We start from the raw sequence: 20,441 nt of genomic DNA on the forward strand, positions 1-20,441 counted from the left end.
GTGGGAAGAAGGGTATTGCCATTTCAAAATATGTGGTCACAGAAGGCATTACTGAGAGGGAGATATTTCAGGCAAGATATGAAGGAAATCAAGGAGTATCCATGTGAATGTTTGGGGAGAAGTGTCACTTGAACAAGTAAAAAATATTTCTAATAACAGATACCTAAATCATCATACATTGATGTGTTTCAGCCCTGAAATTTTCCTTTATGACAACTCCTTTTTATTTTGGTATTGAACAGAAAAAAATAACTTTCACCCAGATCAAACACTCTAGTGGAGTCATGAACTGACTATATATGCTAAGAATATTGTGTCAGAAGTTATGTCAAAAAAGTTTTGAAAAGATAAAGCTAGGCGTGGTGGCTCACGCCTGTAATCCCAGCACTTTGGGAGGCTGAGGCAGGCGGATCACGAGGTTAGGAGATCGAGACCATCCTGGCTAACACGGTGAAACCTCGTCCCTACTAAAAATACAAAAAATTAGACTGGCGTGGTGGCGGGCGCCTGTAGTCCCAGCTACTCGGGAGGCTGAGGCAGAAGAATGGCGTGAACCCGGGAGACGGAGCTTGCAGTGAGCCGAGATCACGCCACTGCACAAAAAAAAAAAAAAAAAAAAAAAGATAAAGTGGGAATAATGTTTAAAGCAGGATATAGAATTAATACAAGTAAATGTTCTTCATTTTCCCTATTAATTTAATTATACTATATTCTGTGTTTAATTCTGAATTAGATTTTTTAATTAAACTTTTTATTTTGAGATAATTGTAGATTCACACCTACTTGTAAGAAATGGCACAAAGAGATCCTGTGTACCTTTACCCAGTTTCTTCCAATGGTAAACTCTTAAAAAACCATAGTACAATAGCAAAACCACAATGTTGACACTGATACAGACAAGAGGCAAATGAGTTTCATTACCAGTAGAATCCCTTTTATTGTCCTTTGATAACAACACACACCTCCTTCCTCCCCTGACCTCCATTTTTGACCCCAGGAAACCACTAATCTGTTCTCCATGTCTATAATTTTGTCATTTAAAAATATTATATAAATGGAATGATATATAGTATGTAGCCTTTGGGAATTAGCTTTTTTTCTCTGAGCGTAATTCTCTTAGAGATTCAACCTAAGTTGTTGTGTATGTCAATACCTCGTTCCTTTTCATTGTTGAATAGTATTCCATGGTGTGTATGTAACAAAGTTTATTTAACCATTCACCCATTGAAGGATATCTGGGCCATTTCCAGTTTTTTAGTTATCACAAGTATTTGTATACAGGTGTTAGTGTGAACTTCAGTTTTCGTTTCTCTGGGATTAATGCCGGAAGAGTGCAAATGCTGAGTTGTATGAGAGTTGCATGTTTAATTTTATAAGAAATTGCCAAAGTGTTTGCCCAGAGTGACTGTACCATTGTGTGCTTCCACCAGCAATGTATGAGTGATCCAGTTTTTCCACATCCTTGCCAGCCTTTGGTGGTGTCACTGTTTTTCATTTTAGCCATTCTGATAGGTGTGTAGTGATAGCTCATTGTAGTTGCATTTTCAGTTTCATAATAACTAATGATGTTTAACATTTTTTATGCACTTATTTCCCATCTGTTTGCCCTCTTCAGTGAAATGTCTGTTCATGTCTTTTACCTATTTTCTTTCATTTTTGAGACAGGGTCTTGCTCTGTTGCCCGGGCTGGAGTGCAGTGGCGCAATCACGGCTCGCTGCAGCGTCAACATCCTGGGCTCAAGTGATTCTCCTGCCTAAGCCTCCCAAGTAGCTGGGACTACAGGTGCACACCACCATTTTATTTTTTGTAGAGTTGGGGTCTTGTTATATTGCCCAGGCTGATGTGAAACGTCTGGCCTCAAGCAGTACTCCGCCCTTGGCCTCCTACTGTGCTGGGATTACAGACATGAGCCACCATGCCTGGCCCTTTTGTCTGTTTTCTAATTGGATTATTTGTGTTTTTACTGTTGTGGAATTTTAAGAGGTCTTTATGTATTCTAGAGTCTAATTCTTTATCAGATATGTGGCATACAAATATTTTCTCCTCGCCTGTAGCTTATCTTTTCATCTTCTGAACAGAATCTTTCATAGAACAAAAGGATTTATTTGGTGAGGCCCACTTTATCAGTATTTCCTTTTATGGATTGATTTTTGGTGTCATGTCCGAGAACTCTTCATCAAATCAGGTTCCTGAAGAATTTCTCTTTCCCCCCTAAAGTTTTATAGTTTTATGTTTTACATTTAGGTCTGTGATCTGTTTTGAGCTAACTTTTGTGTAAGGTGTGAAGTTTGGGTTGAAGTTTCTTATTTTTTGTTTTGGACTGTGTTTGTCCTCGTCTACTGACATGGTTTTTTGCACCCTTGTGAAAAATCATTGAATATATTTGTGTAAATCTGTTTCTGGGTTCTCTTCTGTTCCGTTGTTTTGAGTATCTGTTGCTCTGTCAGTATCACACTGTCTTGATTACTGTAGCTACATAGTCTGACTTAATGCCAGGTGGAGTCTATTCACCTTATTTTTCAACAGTTTTAGATGTTCTAAGGCTTGTTCCTTTCCATGTTAATTTTTAAAAGAAGCTTGTCTATAACTACAAAAACTGTTCTAGGATTTTGAGAGGAATTGATTTAATGAATTAGACTTTTGAAATTGCATATGTAATGTTAATAAAGTTAAAAATGGTAATTCTGTTAAGGAAAACAATTTAGTTCCTTCCAAAGTCTAACGCTAGTTCTTATTTTCTGAAGAAATGTGTATTTTTATGATTTTGAAATTATTGAATGAATATTAATTAGCAGTTTCTTTTTTATTTTTTAAATTTTTTGTGTGGAGATGGGGTCCCACTATGTTGCCCAGGCTGGTCTCAAACTCCTGGTCTCAAGCAATCCTCCCGCCTCAGCCTCCCAAAGTCCTGGTATTACAGGCGTGAACCACCATGCCCGGCCAGCAGTTTCCTTTCAGCCATAACATGAATGACCTTTTTTAATGGCCAAAATTGAAGTTTGTCAGGTTCTAAATCACTAATATGTTTTTGAATTTAAAAATTTTTGAAGGTTTACTTCTGGAATTTTTAAGACCAACCATTAGATTTATAAGGCTGTTAATAAGATTCCTAAACCTATTGTTTTGCCTTAAGGAAAGTATGGTTTACCTTTTGTGTTATCCCAAACAAATTCATCTCCCCATATAGCAAAATGGAATATGCTACTAAATAGTTGAAATTTAGGGTAATGGAGTTTGGGATATGTTTATTATTCATGAATAGTAAGTCAAAAGTTTTTAAATGAAAACATTTGTGTATTCTCATGCTTTGATTGTTGATTCTGCAAAATAAAATCTTAAAAATTACAAAAAGCATCTGATAAACTTCTTAATTTAAAAGAACACTCAGAAATTTACTTTCAGGTATTTAAAAAAAGAGGGAGGCTATCAAACTGATTAGGACTGAAGAAGAACTGAAGAGATAATGTCACCTTGTTGGTTTTGGGTGAGGGAAAATTGAATGAGATCATGCTTTCTTTCTGTCTTGCTTTCTCAAGATAAAGCTTTTCCACTCTTCTGTCTGCTTACTGATTCAGGGTGGCAGGCACAAAACAAAACGTTCCGGTTATATTTTCCATCCTGTTTATATTTAAATTGGCTGTTTATTCTTTAATAAAGTGTATAACTGTTGGTCTATAACATTATGAATGTGGGATTAAGTGGTTAGACTTAGCAGGAATTTGAAAATCAGGGTCCAAATGTACTACCCTAAGTACAGTAGCAGAATTACTTCTATAAAGAAAACTTCCCTAAGTTACAGCATCTGGCTCATAGCATTATCATTACAGTGAAGTTTACCATCACTCATATTAGTGATGTGTTACTTCCCACTTACTCCTAACCCTGCTTAGGTAATGCAAAACTATAATTTAGAAAGTGTGATTTAAAGAAGATGCAATATAATGGTACTCATTGTAAACATATATCCAGATTTCTTTCTTCACATATAATTTATCTGTATTTTTAAATTTATTTTGTCTAATGAAAGACTTTTAAAAGCTCATTCTCTCGAGCAGTGAATTCTCAGCTAGTGAGCCAGGACAGTCTGCCTCATCAAAAGAATTCTGCTAATTGCTTTAGCCAATTTCTGAGGTAATAAGCTGGGAGAGGGAAGAGGTTGGTTACTCATGCATAGGTGACTTTTTGCTAACAGTGTGATTTTTAGGAAGTGAAGACCACAAAAGCTTTTTGACTTGTGGCAGAATTCATTATGATGAGACTTTAGCTGTACCAGGTAACAGATTGCCAAATAAAACACCAAACAAGCAAGATTGGTCAGTTACAATCCAGTCTGTAGTAGTCTGATCCAGCATAGTGTTATGTTTATGGATTCAATTCCCTCCTCGAAGTCATACAATTGAGGCATCTCAGTAGAAATAAAACAAAATAAACAAATTTTGTAGGGAAGCTCCTATACATTTGAATGGTAAGGGCATATAACTATTAATACTTTATGAGACCATGGTATTTTGCAGCCAATCTTAAGGATAAATCTACATTGTGTTCAGGATTCTGTGTTGGGCCAGACTTAACAATGACCATTATGTGTAGAAAATAGCAACCATTGTTGCTGAATTAAACTCTCTCTGGAGATTTAAACATTTTTTTAAAAAATTAAGCTAATAGGCCAAGCGTGGTAGCTCACGCCTGAATCCCAACACTTTAGGAGGCCGACGCGGGCGGATCACTTGAGGACAGGAGTTTGAGATCAGCCTGGGCAACGTGGCGAAAGCCCGTCTCTACTAAAAACACAAAAAGATTAGCCAGGCATGGTGGTATGCATCTGGTCCCAGGTACTCGGGAGGCCGAGGTGATAGGATCACCTGAGCCTGGGGGAGGTTCAGGCTGCTGTAAGCTGTGATTGCACCACGGCACTCAGCCTGAGTGACAGAGGGAGACTCTGTCTTTAAAAAAAAGAAAAGAAAAGAAAAAGCTAATAAAACCTTGATGACAACATAGCCAAAGAAATTAATCAGAGAAGAGTGGTGATTAGAAACAGAAAGCATAGTGGAATAGATGAATTACACCTGGCAAAGGAACTCTAAACTATATTATGTAAAGCTCAGGACAGTCTACTTGTCTGAAAAAGAAATACCAAAAGTATACACATGCAAAAATTTGGATTTTTCAGCTGGACTTTTTGTGAAAGGTTCCCTCCCACCCCAAATTCAAAAGAAGTATAAAGCAGGCCATTCATGGCAAACTCCCAATGAAATGGAATTAATTTGTATTGTGTTTTGAAAGTGTATATATGTGCTTGCAGGAATTACATGGAAGAATTATACTGACATAGAGTGGCTCTCAAAGTGAATAATGGAATCTTAAGGATGTTTTATTAAACAGCGAGTCAACTATTTTTCTCCGTGAATGTGACTCCACAATGATAGTGGAAGTCAGAAAATATTTCACATGCAAATATATCTGAAATTCTTCATGGATGTATTTAACGCTTTGAAGTGATGGCAACATCTGGTAGCAAGTAGAAGCCAGCGTCTTAAAAGCTATGGCTTCATGTTACTACTTCATCTGAATTAGTCATTTAAAGGGGATTTTATATGTCTTCCTAAAAACTGACGAGGTTAATCTTAGACTAGGGCAGGCTGGCAGGAAATGCTAAAGCGGCTCTTTCTTTTGAAGGTTTTGTTATTCCTTGTGAGGTCAAAAAGTAGTTGTTTTAAAGTTTGGAAAGCTAAAGCAGTGATGTTTTGACTCTTGACAGTGAGATGTTTTTCTTTTTTTTTGGGGGAGGGTGTGTGTGGCAAGTTTGAGGAAAAACTTGATACACTGAGAGTTCTTTATACTTTCCACTCCACTTATTTTCTCTCAAATGAATTTATTTTCTAAAGGTGCAGAATTTAGAAATTCGTTTCAATTACCAAATCTGAGCATGGATTTGGTGCTATTAGAAGATGTAACCACCATGTGTTTGGCCAGATTAGCTTTCAGGAATGATCGTATCTTACAGAGTTAGCCAATGGAACAAGAGTAGATGCCTTTTATCCTTATTTATTTGCTTTGCATTAAAAAGACAAATGCTGAAAGTTTATTCTTGACTATGAAATAAACCACTATAATATATGACACTGAGTTAATTCCTTTAGGATGCTATGTCTTCCACATACATCCATTTAATAAATATTTGTTGAGTGCCTACTGTATGCCAGGCACTGTTCTATAAGCTGAAAATAGATTGCTGGACAAAACAGACAAAAAATCACTGCCCTCTTAGAGCTTATTAAATACGAAAACAGTAGAGCAATTTAAAATTATTTAATGCTATCACTCAGCTTTTAAAGATCTTCACTGAATGAGTTTTGAGAACTTTTGCACATATTATCTACAGCTTGAATAGGGAAAAAATGACATTTTGTTTGAAATCTAGTTCAAGAAGCTAGAAGCTGATAAGTAAAGTAAATATTTTATTCTGTGATGATCATTTTCAGTTTTCATTTATCAGTGTTATACTTAGGCCTCTTGAGGAATGTTACTAGTTTAACTTGTGGATTTCCTCCTGAGGATGGGCTTAATTTGTATTGGGGGAGGTGGTGAAAGGACCTAGTAGCCCTGGAATTTAATGTAAAGTCGTGGCATTTGTAAAACTATCTTCTGTCATTTGAAAAATTATAGAATACTTAAATGTATTTAATGCTCCCTGTGGAAAATGAATGTATTGCTCAGTTATTTTTGCCTATGTGAGTAGTACAAGAGCTGACTCAAAGGAGATGACATGATGGTTCCTGTCCTGAAGTGAAATAAGATGATGGGTTGTGGTGGAAAAATGATGTGGTCATGCCCATATTTGCTCACATCTCTTGTTAGTTTCCTTTTATAGAGGGAAACCAGGGAAAGTCTCATTTCTTATTTTTTGTTTCCTTTTTGTATTTTCTTTCATACGCCATTTCCCTTTCTTTTTTTCTTAAAATTGCATTATAGTGACTTCCAATTCAATTGGATCAAGTTGTACTTGGTAATGACATAAAGAAATACCGCTTAGAAAGGTCATAGTGGAAGCATTATACCCATTTTAGGGAATTGATTATATATATAGACACAGCCACTCTGAGCCCCTTGAGGATATGAAAAGCATGTTGCAGAAATCCTCATATTTCCTGATGCCAACTAGTATAGTGCCTTTTACAGAATATATGCTTAATCGGTATTTATCTATTGAACAAATATGAGCCATGAAATTTAATTTTGCTCTCCAAAATCCCAAGTCCTTTATATAAGTAGGCAGAAATTTTAAAAAGTCTTTTTTTTTGTTTGTTTGTTTTTTGAGACAGAGTCTTGCACTGTGGCCTGGGCTGGAGTGCAGTGGTGCAATCTCAGCTCACTGCAAGCTCCGCCTCCTGGGTTCAAGATTTTCTCCTGCCTCAGGCTCCTAAGTAGCTGGGATTACAGGCACCCGCCACCACGCCCAGCTAATTTTTTGTATTTTTAGTAGAGACGGGATTTCACCATGTTGGCCAGGCTGATCTCAAACTCCTGACCTCGTGATTTGCCCTCCTCAGCCTCCCAAAGCGCTGGGATTACAGGTGTGAGCCACTGCACCCGGTCTAAAAACTTATTTTTATGGAATTATTCAAATACATAATGTAAAATAGCATTAAAAACCCCCAGCTTTAACAATTACCAGTATTTCATGTTCTTATTTCATCTTTGCTCTCCCCTTTTTTGAGATTTGCTTTAAAATAATCCGCATATTGTTTTACCGATAAATACTATAGTATACTTCTTAGTTTTTAATATTTTAAGATAGTAGTGTTTGCATTTCATATGGAGTTTTACTTTTAAACCCTTTCTGTGCTACTTTATGCAAGAGAAAGAAATTCTTAACCGCTTATCAGAAGAAAAATCTAATTTTTTTTTTTTTGACGGAGTTTTGCTCTTGTTGCCCAGGCTGAGGTGCAATGGTGTGATCTCGGCTCACAGCAACCTCCGCCTCCCGGGTTCAAGCCATTCTCCTGCCTCAGCCTCCGAATAGCTGGGATTACAGGCCTGTGCCACCACACCCGGCTAATTTTGTATTTTTACCGGAGACGGGGTTTCTCCATGTTGGTCAGGCTAGTCTCGAACTCCAGACCTCAGGTGATCCACCTGCCTCGGCCTCCCAAAGTGCTGAGATTACAGGCGTGAGCCACTGCGCCCGGCCAAGAATAATCTAATTTGCTGTGTATGAGTAGGATGTTAACTCATTTTGTAACATATATTTCCTTTCTTAATCTTTTAAAAAATTTTATTAAAAGTTTCTAAACAGGCCGGGCGCTGTGGCTCACACCTATAATGCCAGCACTTTGGGAGGCTGAGGCGGACAGGTCATGAGGCCAGGAGTTCGAGACTAGCCTGGCCAACATAGTGAAACCCGGTCTCTACTAAAAATACAAAAAAAAAAAAAAAATAGCCATGTGTGGTGGCAGGTGCCTGTAGTCCCAGATACTTGGGAGGCTGAGGCAGGAGAATCGCTTGAACTCGGGAGGGGGAGGTTGCAGTGAGCCAAGATTGTGCCACGCACTCCAGCCTGGAGGATGGAGTGAGACTCCGTCTCAAAAAAAAAAAAAAAAAGTTTCTAAACAACATTGTACATGTTATGTCATGACTGTCATGATAAAGTCTTGCCTTTTAGACATGAACCTGATTCAGCAAAATGTGCTTTGAAGTAGATAAGCTGTAGATTTTTGTCTTGCCTGAATTGATATTAAAGAGATGTTTTTTCTTTTCACAGTTCAAAAGTACAGAACTCAGGTTAAAACCTAGATATGTAATTTTGTTAATTTTATTTTCAGTTTGAAAATTCTTGTTAAAACCTGCATACTTTATAGGTTTGCTGTCTCTAAAATTAGATGGCTCCTTCATAAATATTACTGAATAAAGCACCAGTTTTCAAAAAGTGTGGCACATGGGCTCATGGGGGTTAAAATTACTTTCATGATAAAACTAAATTGTTATTTGTTTTTTCACTGTGTTAACATTTGCACTGATGATGCAAAAGCAGTAGTGGGTAAAGCTGCTGAATCAAGATAGTGGCCCCACACTGTAGTGATAGCCACTGTATTCCTCAGCACCATACCATCACCTTTAGAAAAAAATCTTACAACATGCATTTCATTTACAAATGTACTTGATGAAGCAGGAAAAAATAATTGTATTAAATCTCAATTCTTAGGTATGCATCTTTTTAAATATTGTGTGTGATGAGATAAGACATACCCATAAAGTATTTCTGCTGCATATGGATATATGACGATCGTCTTGAGGGAAAGCACTTGCGCAGCTGTTTGAGTTGTGAGCTAAACTAGCTGCCTTTTTAAAAATAGAAAACCAGGCCGGGCGCGGTGGCTCACGCCTGTAATCCCAGCACTTTGGGAGGCCGAGGCGGGCAGATCACGAGGTCAGGAGATCGAGACCATCCTGGCTAACACGGTGAAACCCCGTCTCCACTAAAAATACAAAAAATTAGCTGGGCGTGGTGGCGGGCACCTGTAGTCCCAGCTACTTGGGAGGCTGAGGCAGGAGAATGGCGTGAACTAGGGAGGCGGAGCTTGCAGTGAGCCGAGATCGCGCCACTGCACTCCAGCCTGGGCGACAGAGCGAGACTCCGTCTCAAAAAAAAAAAAAAAAAGACAACCAGTTTTACTTTGAAAGATTGAATTAACTGATTATTCAGACCCGAGTATCTAACAGATACTTTATTTTTAAAAAATGAACCAAGTGTGCCTCTCACTGCAAGGGAAACAACTAAGAGTATTTGTTGCCAATGCTAAAATTAGAGCTTTCAAGCAAAATTCAAATTTTTGAGAACTTGCATTGGTCACCATTTTATCCGATCAATACTTAGGCTTTTCTAGTGAAATCGACAGTATAATTAATGAAAATAATGTGTTAGATTTTGTATAATGAAATGTATCAGCATTTGGAAGACCCACATAACTTACTGAAACAATATTTTTCCAAATAACTAATGTATGATGTTACAAAATCAAGCATGGGTAAAAGGCCCATTCTAAGTGCAAGACAGACAAATAGATTTTGAAAAAATCATTGATATTGTATCAGACTCTACATTGCAACCAACCTTTGAAAAACTACCACTTCTCTCGAGTTTTGGTGTAGTATTGAAGAATATCTGTAAGTATCTGGAAAGCCTCTTAAAGTATTTCTTTCTTTTTACAACAGTTTATCTGTAGGAGGCCAGATGTTCTTCATGCACTGGAACCAAAACCGGTATTGCAAAAGATTGAATGCAGAAGCAGATATGAAAACCCAGCTTTCTTGTTCTAGGTTAAACATTAAAGTGATTTGCAACAATGTAAACAATGCCACCCTTGTCACTACACTTTTTTTGAAAATATAGTTATTTTTCATTAAAAAGCTTATGTTAACATGTAATGGGCTTATTCTTATTTTTAAACAAATAAATATCTTAAAAGTTTCGTAGTCGCAATTTTTGATGTGACAAATACACTGATAGATCTAACCCATGTGTCACCAAACTCTTTGGGATCCTCAGATCCTGAGGCCAAAAAGTTTAGGAACTGCTGAGTTGGGTTTTTTGTTGTTGTTTCCCTCCTTATCCCTTTGCCCCACCCCTCCACTTTTCTCCTATTCCCCTCTCCTTTCTTTTCTTTTTTTGAGTGAGAGAGAGACCCTCAGGATAGAAAATTGTAGAGCATGTGAGTTATTCCTTTGTATGTTTTTATTAGCTACGAACTGAACATGTATGTCTTTTAAATTCATTCATTGCCCCATGTGTAGTTCGATGTATTTTGACCTTTTCTTTTATTTATTTTAAAATTTTGATTACTTAGTTACACAAATAAAGAGCTAATAAATACTATCAGGGAGACAGCCCTTGGAATATTGAATTTTATATTTTCTTCTGCGACAGTCTTGCTCTGTCCGTGCAGTGGCAAGATCACAGCTCACCTCCTGGGCTCAAGCTATCCTCCTACCTCAGCCTCCCAAGTAGCTGGGACTACAGGCGACAGCCACCATGCCCAGCTAATTTTTTTGTATTTTTTTTGTAAAGACAGGGTTTTGCCATGTTGCCCACGCTGCTCTCGAACTCCCGGGCTAAAGTGATCCACCCACCTCTGCCTCCCAAGGTGCTGGGATTACAAGCACCAGCCACCACGCCTGGCCAGAATATTGAAATTAAGATATATTCTGACTTATTTTTCCCCAAATATGAAAAAAATGATTACATATATGACTTGATTATTAAAATTGACACATCCATGCAACAAGTTTATATACCTAATGCTGTGCCTGGTATGAATTTCCTAAACTTTCCAATATAGTCCCAAAATTACAGTAGTAGTTTCTTGAATGTAAACTTGTTGCCTGTTTTATATGTTAGATCCCTTTGCTTCTATGCTTCACTCACTATGTTTGTTTGTTCGCTTTGTTTTTATAAGTCATGAAGATGGAAAAAAAACTGTTTCATGAAAGGAAAATAGATGAGTGTTGTTGAGGTGTGTCATTAAGCACAGTGGGAGAGGCCTCCAATGTACGTGTCACACATGGAAAGTATACCTAGTACTGGGTGTGGTGGAGAGCATGACGTCTGGATGAAAGTTGTAAGAGACTTTAAAAATACTATGCCTAGCTTTTGTGTTACAACTACATATTCCACTGATACTTATGTGAAACTCCCATAACTTTTCGGGTTGTACCTCTTTTTTCCACCCTGGGGTGGGAGTGTGTCCACAAGTGCATGTGTGTGAACTCTTAACTTTGTGTTTGTATTTTGAGATGGAGTCTCTGTGGCCCAGGCTGGAGTGCAGTGGTGCAATCTCTGCTCACTGCAACCTCCACTTCTGGGGTTCAAGCTGTTCTCCTGCCTCAGCCTCCCAAGTAGCTGGGACTACAAGGGCACAACACCAATCTGGCTTTTTTGAATTTTTGGTAGAGACGGGGTTTCACCACGTTGGCCAGGCTTGTCTGGAACTCCTGACCTCAGGTGATCCGCCCACCTCAGCCTCGCAAAGTGCTGGGATTACAGGCCTGAGCCACCGCGCCCAGCCCGGCCTGAACTCTTAACTGTATGGTTTCTGTTTGTAACATCTAGAGAGAGTGACAGTGAGAATTTGGTTTCCGTCGGCTTTCCTTAGCATTCATTTTGATGAATTTGGGATGCAATTTAAAAGCTGTTTTCATTCTGTGGCCTGCTGATGAAAATGTAGAATTTATTGCAGAACCCTTGCCACCGTCTTGCATTCCCAAACCAGTGTTCATTACCCATAGTAAAAACCGAGATCCTGTTCACACACATGCACATACACAGACACGCTCCCCACCGCCCCCGTCACGCACACACCCACACACACCTCGGATGGTGAGTGAGATAGAAGTTTAGTTTACATGCTAAAACTGGTTAAATTACTGATGTGGTAGAACTGTCTTTTAGCCCGGGCACAGTTGCTCACACCTGTAATCCCAGCACTTTGGGAGGCCAAGGTGGGTGGATCACCTGAGGTCAGGAGTTCTAGACCAGCCTGGCCAACATGGTGAAAACCCGTCTCTACTAAAAATACAAAAATTAGCCGGGCATGGTGGCAGGTGCCTGTAATCCCAGCTACTCGGGAGGCTGAGGCCAGAGAATAGCTGGAACCCGGGAGGCGGAGGTTGCAGTGAGCTGAGATCGAACCACTGCACTCCAACCTGGGCGACAGAGCGAGACTCCGTCTCAAAAATAATAATAATAAATAAAAGAAACAAAAAACTGGCCGGGCGCGGTGGCTCGCGCCTTGTAATCCCAGCACTTTGGGAGGCTGAGGCGGGCAGATCCCAAGGTCAGGAGATCGAGACCATCCTGGTTAACACGGTGAAATCCCGTCTCTACTAAAAATACAAAAAAATTAGCCGGGCGTGGTGGCGGGTGCTTGTAGTCCCAGCTACTCAGGAGGCTGAGGCAGGAGAATGGCATGAACCCGGGAGGTGGAGCTTGCAGTGAGCCACGATCCCGCCACTACACTCCAGCCTGGGTGACAGAGCGAGACTCCGTCTCAAAAAAAAAACAAACCAAAACTGTCTTTATGTCCTACCTAGCATTTACTAAGTAGAAGATGTGCCCTTTTGAAGGGCATGTCTATTCCTAGAACTTTAACTACAATGCTTTGCAGTAGAAATATATGCTATTGTATTAAGGTGAAGTGACTTTAGAATTAGTAACTCGGTGTTGACAGATCATGCTGATCGAAGATTAGCCTTGGAGTTTGGAAAGCTGGAGAGCATGTATATTCCAGATGACCAGGAAAGGAAAAGTCAGAAAAACAGTTTTTAAGTAGTACTGTTATAACGACCTGTAAAACTTGAAACGAGAGAAAGCTGTCTTCTAAAATGAAGAATTACATATTTAAAACATTAATTTCCTCAATGATACTGCTACATATCTGAAAAGGGTGGTTACGTAGCATTTGGGACAGACCCGTCTCAGTGGTTTGAGGCAACAGGTGTGGCTGAAGAAAAGGTAAGGCTGGGGAAAAACCAACATTTCTGGTCTAAACTGATACTGTCTTCTTACCTGAGGCAGTTTCCTATGCCCTGGTTTTCTCTGTCTGAAAAATGCATGATAACACATACTCTTCAAATTAGCTCAAAATGCTTGGTAGTTACCTACTATTCCCTGACAGGCCACAGGCAGATAGTTCTATGCTTGTTTTAGAAATGGAGAATTTGGTACTCAGAAAAGTTGAAGAAGCTTCATTTCATTCACATAGTGAGTCAGCAACAAAGACAGACGGAAAAACATGTCCTATGACTCCTGCCATTGTATTCCTTCTCTTCTGCATTGTGTTGCCTTTTGATATTTCACGAAGGTTTTGTGATTGGTGAAATAAATTAAAGCACTTCCATGAAGGAGACAAAATGTAACCCAGTGTCTGCTGATGGTGGTTAGTGACGAGGACAGGAGAACACTGCCTCATAATGGGGACTATCCGGTGAGGGCTCCTTTTCACAGGTGCCCACACTGTGAGTCACCTCCTTATGCTGAGAGTTCGGTATGCTATCATAAAATACTTTGTTGTGTATTATTTATGAAGGACTAGAGTATCTATTGTCTCACTTTCTTTCATTCTCATGAGGTAGATTACAGCAGCAGATGGCATTATGCATGCTTTATCCCAGACACAAGAAAATAATATCTGCCACTTACTGAGTACCTTGCTGGACCCAGACACTCTTACATATTTATATCTTCCCATTGGGTCATCCCGTGGACCTTGTGAAATATGTGGAATAGCTCCATTGTTATAGATATGAACCCAGGGCTCAGAGAAGCTAAGTAATTTGTTCAGGGTCACACAGACTTACAGGTCTGTCAGACTCCTAAGACCCTGATGCTTTCATTGTGCTGCATTTCCTTCAAATTATGAACTTGCCCTATGTCAGCACAGAAACGGCCTCTTCAGCCTAGCCCAGTGCTCCAACTGATTGTTCTCTCTCATAAAAGGCACTCACAACTAACCACTTGCTTGATTTAGGAATTCACTGATTAGATTGCTAGACCAGTTAAAGGCAAATTTCAATAATGAGAGCAGTTATCACGTATCTAGTACTTACCATGCGCCAGACTATGATCTAAATTTATGACACATATTAAATCATTTAAGCCTTACAACCATGTATAAAATAGTGAACTGCGATATGATGGAGTTGCTCTTATCTTCATCCCGGGATGAGAAAATAGAGGCAGAAGAGTTTTAAGCAATTTGCACAGTTAATAAAGTGTGGAGCCAGAATTTGAACCCAATCTGGCTCCAGACCTCTTTACTACAGCTCTCAGTTAGAAAATTATTTCTAACTGAGATATTTCGGTTCAGCAAGTGTTGGCTTAGTTCCTGTGTGCTATGCCAGCAGAAAATATAGTTCCTACACAGAAGAGCTTACATTTTTGACATAAATCAAAATGTATATACTTGAAATAAATGCTACAACACCTTAGCATATGGGGTGTAAATGTTGTGTATGGATCAGCATGAATAATAGAGACTGTTAGTGAGTGGCTTGAGAGTTAATTTGCCTTCGCAAGTAATGTTCTTGACTATGGACGAGTGACTTGGGCACTGGGGAGAAGCTGTTCCATGTGTTCTAAAATAAGCAGGTTACTTGGCTACTGTTCAAACTCTAAATAGGTATATGGGTTGTAGCTATTTGACCTGAACTAACTTTAAATTCCCCTGAGTCCTTATATGATTTTGGGGAAAAAAAAAAAAGGAAGAAGAAAAAAGAAAACTTTTCTCTGTAAATGCTGCATTTAAATTAGAATTTATTAAATTCTCTGCAAAATACCGCCAGGCTGACAGGAAGGGGATTCGTAAGTATTGTATCATTCTTTTGTCAGGGTGTTCTCTTTTTCTAGCAGGAAGTGTTGTGACTTGCTCTCTAAAGTTGCAATTGTAAGAAGAATGTTGGGTTTCCAGATTGCTCTTCTGGGCGTGGGAGAAGGTTCTGTCTATCAGTGCTGCGAGAAAGGAAAGAAACAAGTTTGCTCTCAGCGGGTAACTATTTTAATATTATTTTGACAGGCTCTAACTTTGAGATTACTAAATCTAAATTTAAATACTAAATGATTAAGCAGGAATTTACGTCAAAAAGCTTGAAATTCCTGTTATTTATTTGGGTAAACATTTGGAGTCACTTTAAAAATATTATTTATTCAAGTAGAATAAAATTTTTGTTAAGAGAAAATTTTGAAGTTTAGATTCTAACCTGTTCTGTGTGTATTCTGTATTTTTCTTTATTTAGAGAATGTTTAGGGAGTTTATACTTTTTAAAAATGGGTTTTGAAATCCTAATTATACAGCCGTATTTATCAAGTTAAGTATCTAAAACACTAAATAATAGAAATTATTGTCTATATTTGTGGTGGGGGTGGGATTTCAAATGCTTTTGATCCCAGTTACATGGTTTTTCAAAATTCTGTAAAATGGAGGTTGAGGTGGCTGTCATGACAGAACATGTCACGATTAGATTGATATTATACTCTTCCTACGTGAGTTAAATCAAACAGTTGTCTTAGTGTTTATAATTTACAAAATAATAAACATCACTGGTGATTAAATTTTGATGGCGTTATTGGTACTTGGCAGCAATAGTGATTTCTGGTGCTCACATACATTAGGATTTTCCATCACATGGTTGTCATATAAGTTTAATTTCCCCATATTTCTGGCAAAGGGAAGTATAGCTAGTTATACAGTCAATCCTCACTCTGAGTTGAGTCACCTCTCGGACTGGTTGTACTTAATATGCGCATATGAAGTAAAAAGTGAAGCATGAAACAAAACAAACCAGTTTTTTCAATTAACAAGTGCTGTATTTGCTAACATATAAGCAAGGTATATAACACTGCAAGAGGCATTTTCAGTGACTTGCCGATAGCTTTCTGCTTCGTGTATATAGTGATTTGAGTTGTAGGTCACAATATTTTATGGCATTTTTATTTTGAATTGAAGTGAAGCATGGTAACTAGTCTGATCTTGCCTAGCCTCTCTCTCTCTCTCTCCCTCCCTCTCTCTCTCTCTCTCTCTCTCTCACACACACACACACACACACACCCCACACACACATATCCCTGAAAGTTGCCCTTGGCTTCACTCAAACATATGTTAATTTTCATAAGAAAGGAAACTGGTGGAAATACTTCTTAGGTATGAAAATTAATTAATTTCATTAGCAGCAGATTTATTTTCCCATAAATTATTCAGATTTTGGGGGTAGATGTAAAAGTTTACTTAGGCATGGAAGACATTAGACCTTTTAAAAGCAAAGTGGGCTATTTCAATCTAAGAAGTTAGTTAATGTACCTTAGCTTTCTGAAGCTAGGGGAAGGAGAGGTGTCTTTTTGTTGTGTCTTTGGGTTTGAAATAGTATTCTTCATCCTAGGAAAAAGGGCTTTTAGACTATAATTGAGACTTGCATTAAATAGCTGCAAAATTCTTGCCTGAGAAACGTTTAAATGATGTCTTTAATCTGACCAAATTGAATTGAATATTTCTATTATTGGAAAAAGCTACGTATTAATTTATTTTTAAATAGCCATTGCTTTCAGATCTTATCTTTGTTTATTAAGTATAAAAAGAGGAAAGGAAACTTTTACCTAAAATGGAGGTATTTGATATTCCTCCAGGAAATGACACAGGATTGGGCACCCTTTGGGGTTTAAGTGACTCATAGATATTGGTACTGAAAACAAAACAAAACAAAAGATCAGTTAGAATCTAGCTAATGATCAATTATAGCACAGAATAGAAGTATTTCCAGAAAAATGAACTCATTTCTTAATAGCTATGTAGGGGTGAAATCACAGGATTTCTGAGATTTGCTTTAAAATAATTCATGGAAGAGAGACAGGGAAGGAGGGAGGGAGAAGAAAGGACAGGAAGAGAGAATAGATGAACCAAGCAAATGTGGGGAAATCTGGATAAATGTAGAATCTGTGATGGGTTTATGGGTGTTTTTTGTGCTATTTTCTCTTGTATATATTGAAAATATTGACAATAAAAAATGTTAGTAGACCTTTAGTTTGGGGCAATTTATATTTATTTTCTTTCTTTTTTTTTTTTTTTTTTTTGAGATGGAGTCTCACTCTGTTGCCCAGGCTGGAGTGCAGTGGCACGATCTTGGCTCATGCAACCTCCACCTCCCGGGTTCAAGCAGCTCTCCTGCCTCAGCCTCCCGAGTAGCTGGGATTACAGGCACCCACCACCACGCCCGGCTAATTTTTGTGTTTTTAGTAGAGATGGGGTTTCACCATACTGGCCAGGCTGGTCTTGAACTCCTTATATTTACTTCTAAATGTCAACTTTTATCTATAAATTGCAGGCCTGTCAAAACATGATGTATGCATGATGTGTATGACTGTAAAGGTGAAATGTGCTGCTTGAATGCCAAAATGGTTGAAAGTAAAAACTGCTTCTGAAAAGGTTTATTTCTGTTTGATTTTCAGCTAAATTCAAAGGACAGGTCACAAACATCTTGAAGAGTTTTTTAGTATCTTGAAGTATTAAACAAGGGTAGTTAAAGCATGATAACAGGCCAATTGTATGTGAAGAATGTGAAGACGTTATTGAACTTGACTATTTTGTTCACAGCTTTCTCCAATAGAGTATGTGTTTTTAAAACCACGTGAGAGGACTATATAGCCTGCATGATGTATAGGTCTGCGCACTTTCCCTACTCACCTCCATCGAAGTTTATTTATTGAACAAACATTCGGTAGGTGCTTGTGGTGAGCCAAGATACAAAGTCAAATAAGATACCAACCGTGCTTTTAAGGAGCTCACAGGCTCGTGGAGGAGATAGAGAAAGAAATAGATGTCATCACGCTGAAAGCTGAAAAGGGCTATAGGAATATGGGGAAGGGGAGGAACGGGTTAGCAACTATGACCCTATGACGCATCTCCTTTAAAATAATACAAGGCTGGGCACAGTGGCTCATGCCTGTAATCCCAACATTTTGGGAGGCCTAGGTGGGCAGATCACTTGAGGTCAGTAGTTCGAGACAAGTCTGGCCCACATGGTGAAACCCCGTCTCTCCTAAAAGAATAAAAACTAGCCAGATGTGGTGGCGCATGCTTGTAATGCTAGCAACTGTGAAAGCTGAGGCGGGAGAATCGCTTGAACCCAGGAGTCGGAGGTTGCAGTGAGCTGAGATAGAGCCACTGCACTCAAGCCTGGGTGACAGAGCAAGACTCTGTCTCAAGAAAATAATAATAATATAAAATAAGGCTGGGTGCGGTGGCTCACTCCTGTAATCCCAGCACTTTGGGAGGCCGAGGCGGGTGGGTCACCTGAGATCAGGAGTTCGAGACCAGCCTGATCAACCTGGTGAAACCCCATCTCTAGTAAAAATACAAAAACTAGCCAGGCATGGTGGTGGGCGCCTGTAATCCCAGCTACCCAGGAGGCTGCGGCAGGAGAATCACTTGAACCCAGGAGGTGGAGGTTGCAGTGAGCCAAGATCATGCCATTGCACTCCAGCCTGGGCGACAGAGTGAGACTCTGCCTCAAAACTAATAATAATAATATAATGTAATATAATACAGACAGAAAATTGGAGATGGTTTAATTGGTTGTGGGTATTACAGTGGTAGAAGAGGGCTAAAATGGCTTAGTCTAACCCCATGCATAACTTTGCAAATAACTCTTCTGCTCTCATCTCTCTTCCCCGCCCTTCTTAATAAACCTTTATATCTTTCTTATGCATCCACAGGGGTTATTGGAGCAGTGTACGTGCAGAACAGAGCAATCTCTTCTTCACATTAAAGAGTAGACTGATGTTTAAGTCTCCCTTAAAGGTTTTAGATATATCCAAGGCCGAATTATAGTTATTAGGTAGGCAGCTACTTGGAGTTGGATAAAGGGTAGAGTTAGCCTTCAGTCACAGATAGAGCCTTCTAAAGTTCATTTCTCAATTGATTTGGAATTTGAAACATATTTTGTCATGGAAATAGTAGTAGGGTTTTTCAGGTTACTTTACAAGTATTCCTGAAATTTTATATTATGTTATCTGGCATGATATGGTTTTGTTCTATGATATCTTATTTTATTTTCATTGTATTCTATGTGAATTGTAGAAGCACAGTTGCTAAATATATCCAGATTTATGTTCCATCAGCCAGTTACTTTATTCTCTAGTTCCTGATACTATACAATCTAATCAGTGTATATAATAATGCCTCATGAGAAAATACTGTCAATTTTATTTGAGGTACCTAATGATGTCCTCTGTTTAGTTGTACAATTTGCAGCTGAAATGTTAAGTAGAATGAACAGAAGAGCTAGACCTGAAAAATAACTTTCCGAAGTAAAGTCTGCTATACGTGGTGATTATTTCTTTCATAGATGTTTGCTCACCACATTGACTATAAGAAGAAATTTTTGGCTGGGCATGATGGCTCATACCTGTAACCTCAGCACTTTTGGAGGCCAAAGCAGACAAATCACTTGAGCCCAGGAGTTCAAGACCAACCTGGAGAACATGGCAAAACCCCATCTCTCCAAAAAATACAAAAATTAGCTGGGGTGATATTGCGTGCCTGTAATCCCAGTTACTCAGGGGGCTAAGGTGGGAAGATTTCTTGAGCCCAGGAGTTGGAGGCTTCAGTTACCATGACACTGCACTCCAGCCTGGGCGACACAGCGAGATTCTATTTCAAAAAAAAAAAAAAAAGAAGAAGGAGAAGAAGCAATTTTTGATAATGCTGATGTGCTAGAATTAATGCACAGTAAAACACTTCACCACTTTTTCTTCTGCTTCAACCTTTCCTAGACTTTTAGGACTAGGAACCTATGACACACGTGAGGGCATTTAGGTTTTGACTCCCTTATTTTGACTTTCAGAGCAACAAATCATTAAATAAAAATTATGCATATAGCCTCTTAAGCCTTTACAATT

At 38.7% G+C, this 20,441-nt stretch overlaps 1 protein-coding gene across 11 annotated transcripts in view, besides 1 other annotated feature; it reads left to right on the forward strand.

Moving 5' to 3' along the window:
- Positions 1-20,441, forward strand: part of PLS3 (plastin 3) — an 89,688-nt gene that overhangs the window by 16,919 nt on the left and 52,328 nt on the right. For 7 of the 11 annotated variants that reach the window (XM_047442169.1, XM_047442168.1, NM_001440791.1 and 4 more), the window contains exon 1: positions 15,459-15,540. The exons of 2 other annotated variants lie outside the window; for them this stretch is intronic. The gene's annotated coding sequence lies outside the window, so the exon portion shown is untranslated. Of the gene's footprint in view, positions 1-13,021; positions 15,357-15,458; positions 15,541-20,441 lie in introns of those variants that run through there. 2 more of the 11 variants (XM_047442172.1, XM_047442171.1) reach the window with 1 other exon arrangement.
- Positions 1,111-1,684: an enhancer, noted in NCBI's record as "H3K4me1 hESC enhancer chrX:114813517-114814090 (GRCh37/hg19 assembly coordinates)". NCBI's record gives its function as "activates a minimal SCP1, AML or CMV promoter by ChIP-STARR-seq in naive H9 embryonic stem cells {active_cell/tissue: H9 hESC(naive)}" and the evidence as "EXISTENCE:reporter gene assay evidence [ECO:0000049][PMID:30033119]".

This window comes from Homo sapiens, chromosome X (genome assembly GCF_000001405.40).
Source record: "Homo sapiens chromosome X, GRCh38.p14 Primary Assembly".
Classification (NCBI taxonomy): Eukaryota; Metazoa; Chordata; class Mammalia; order Primates; family Hominidae; genus Homo; species Homo sapiens.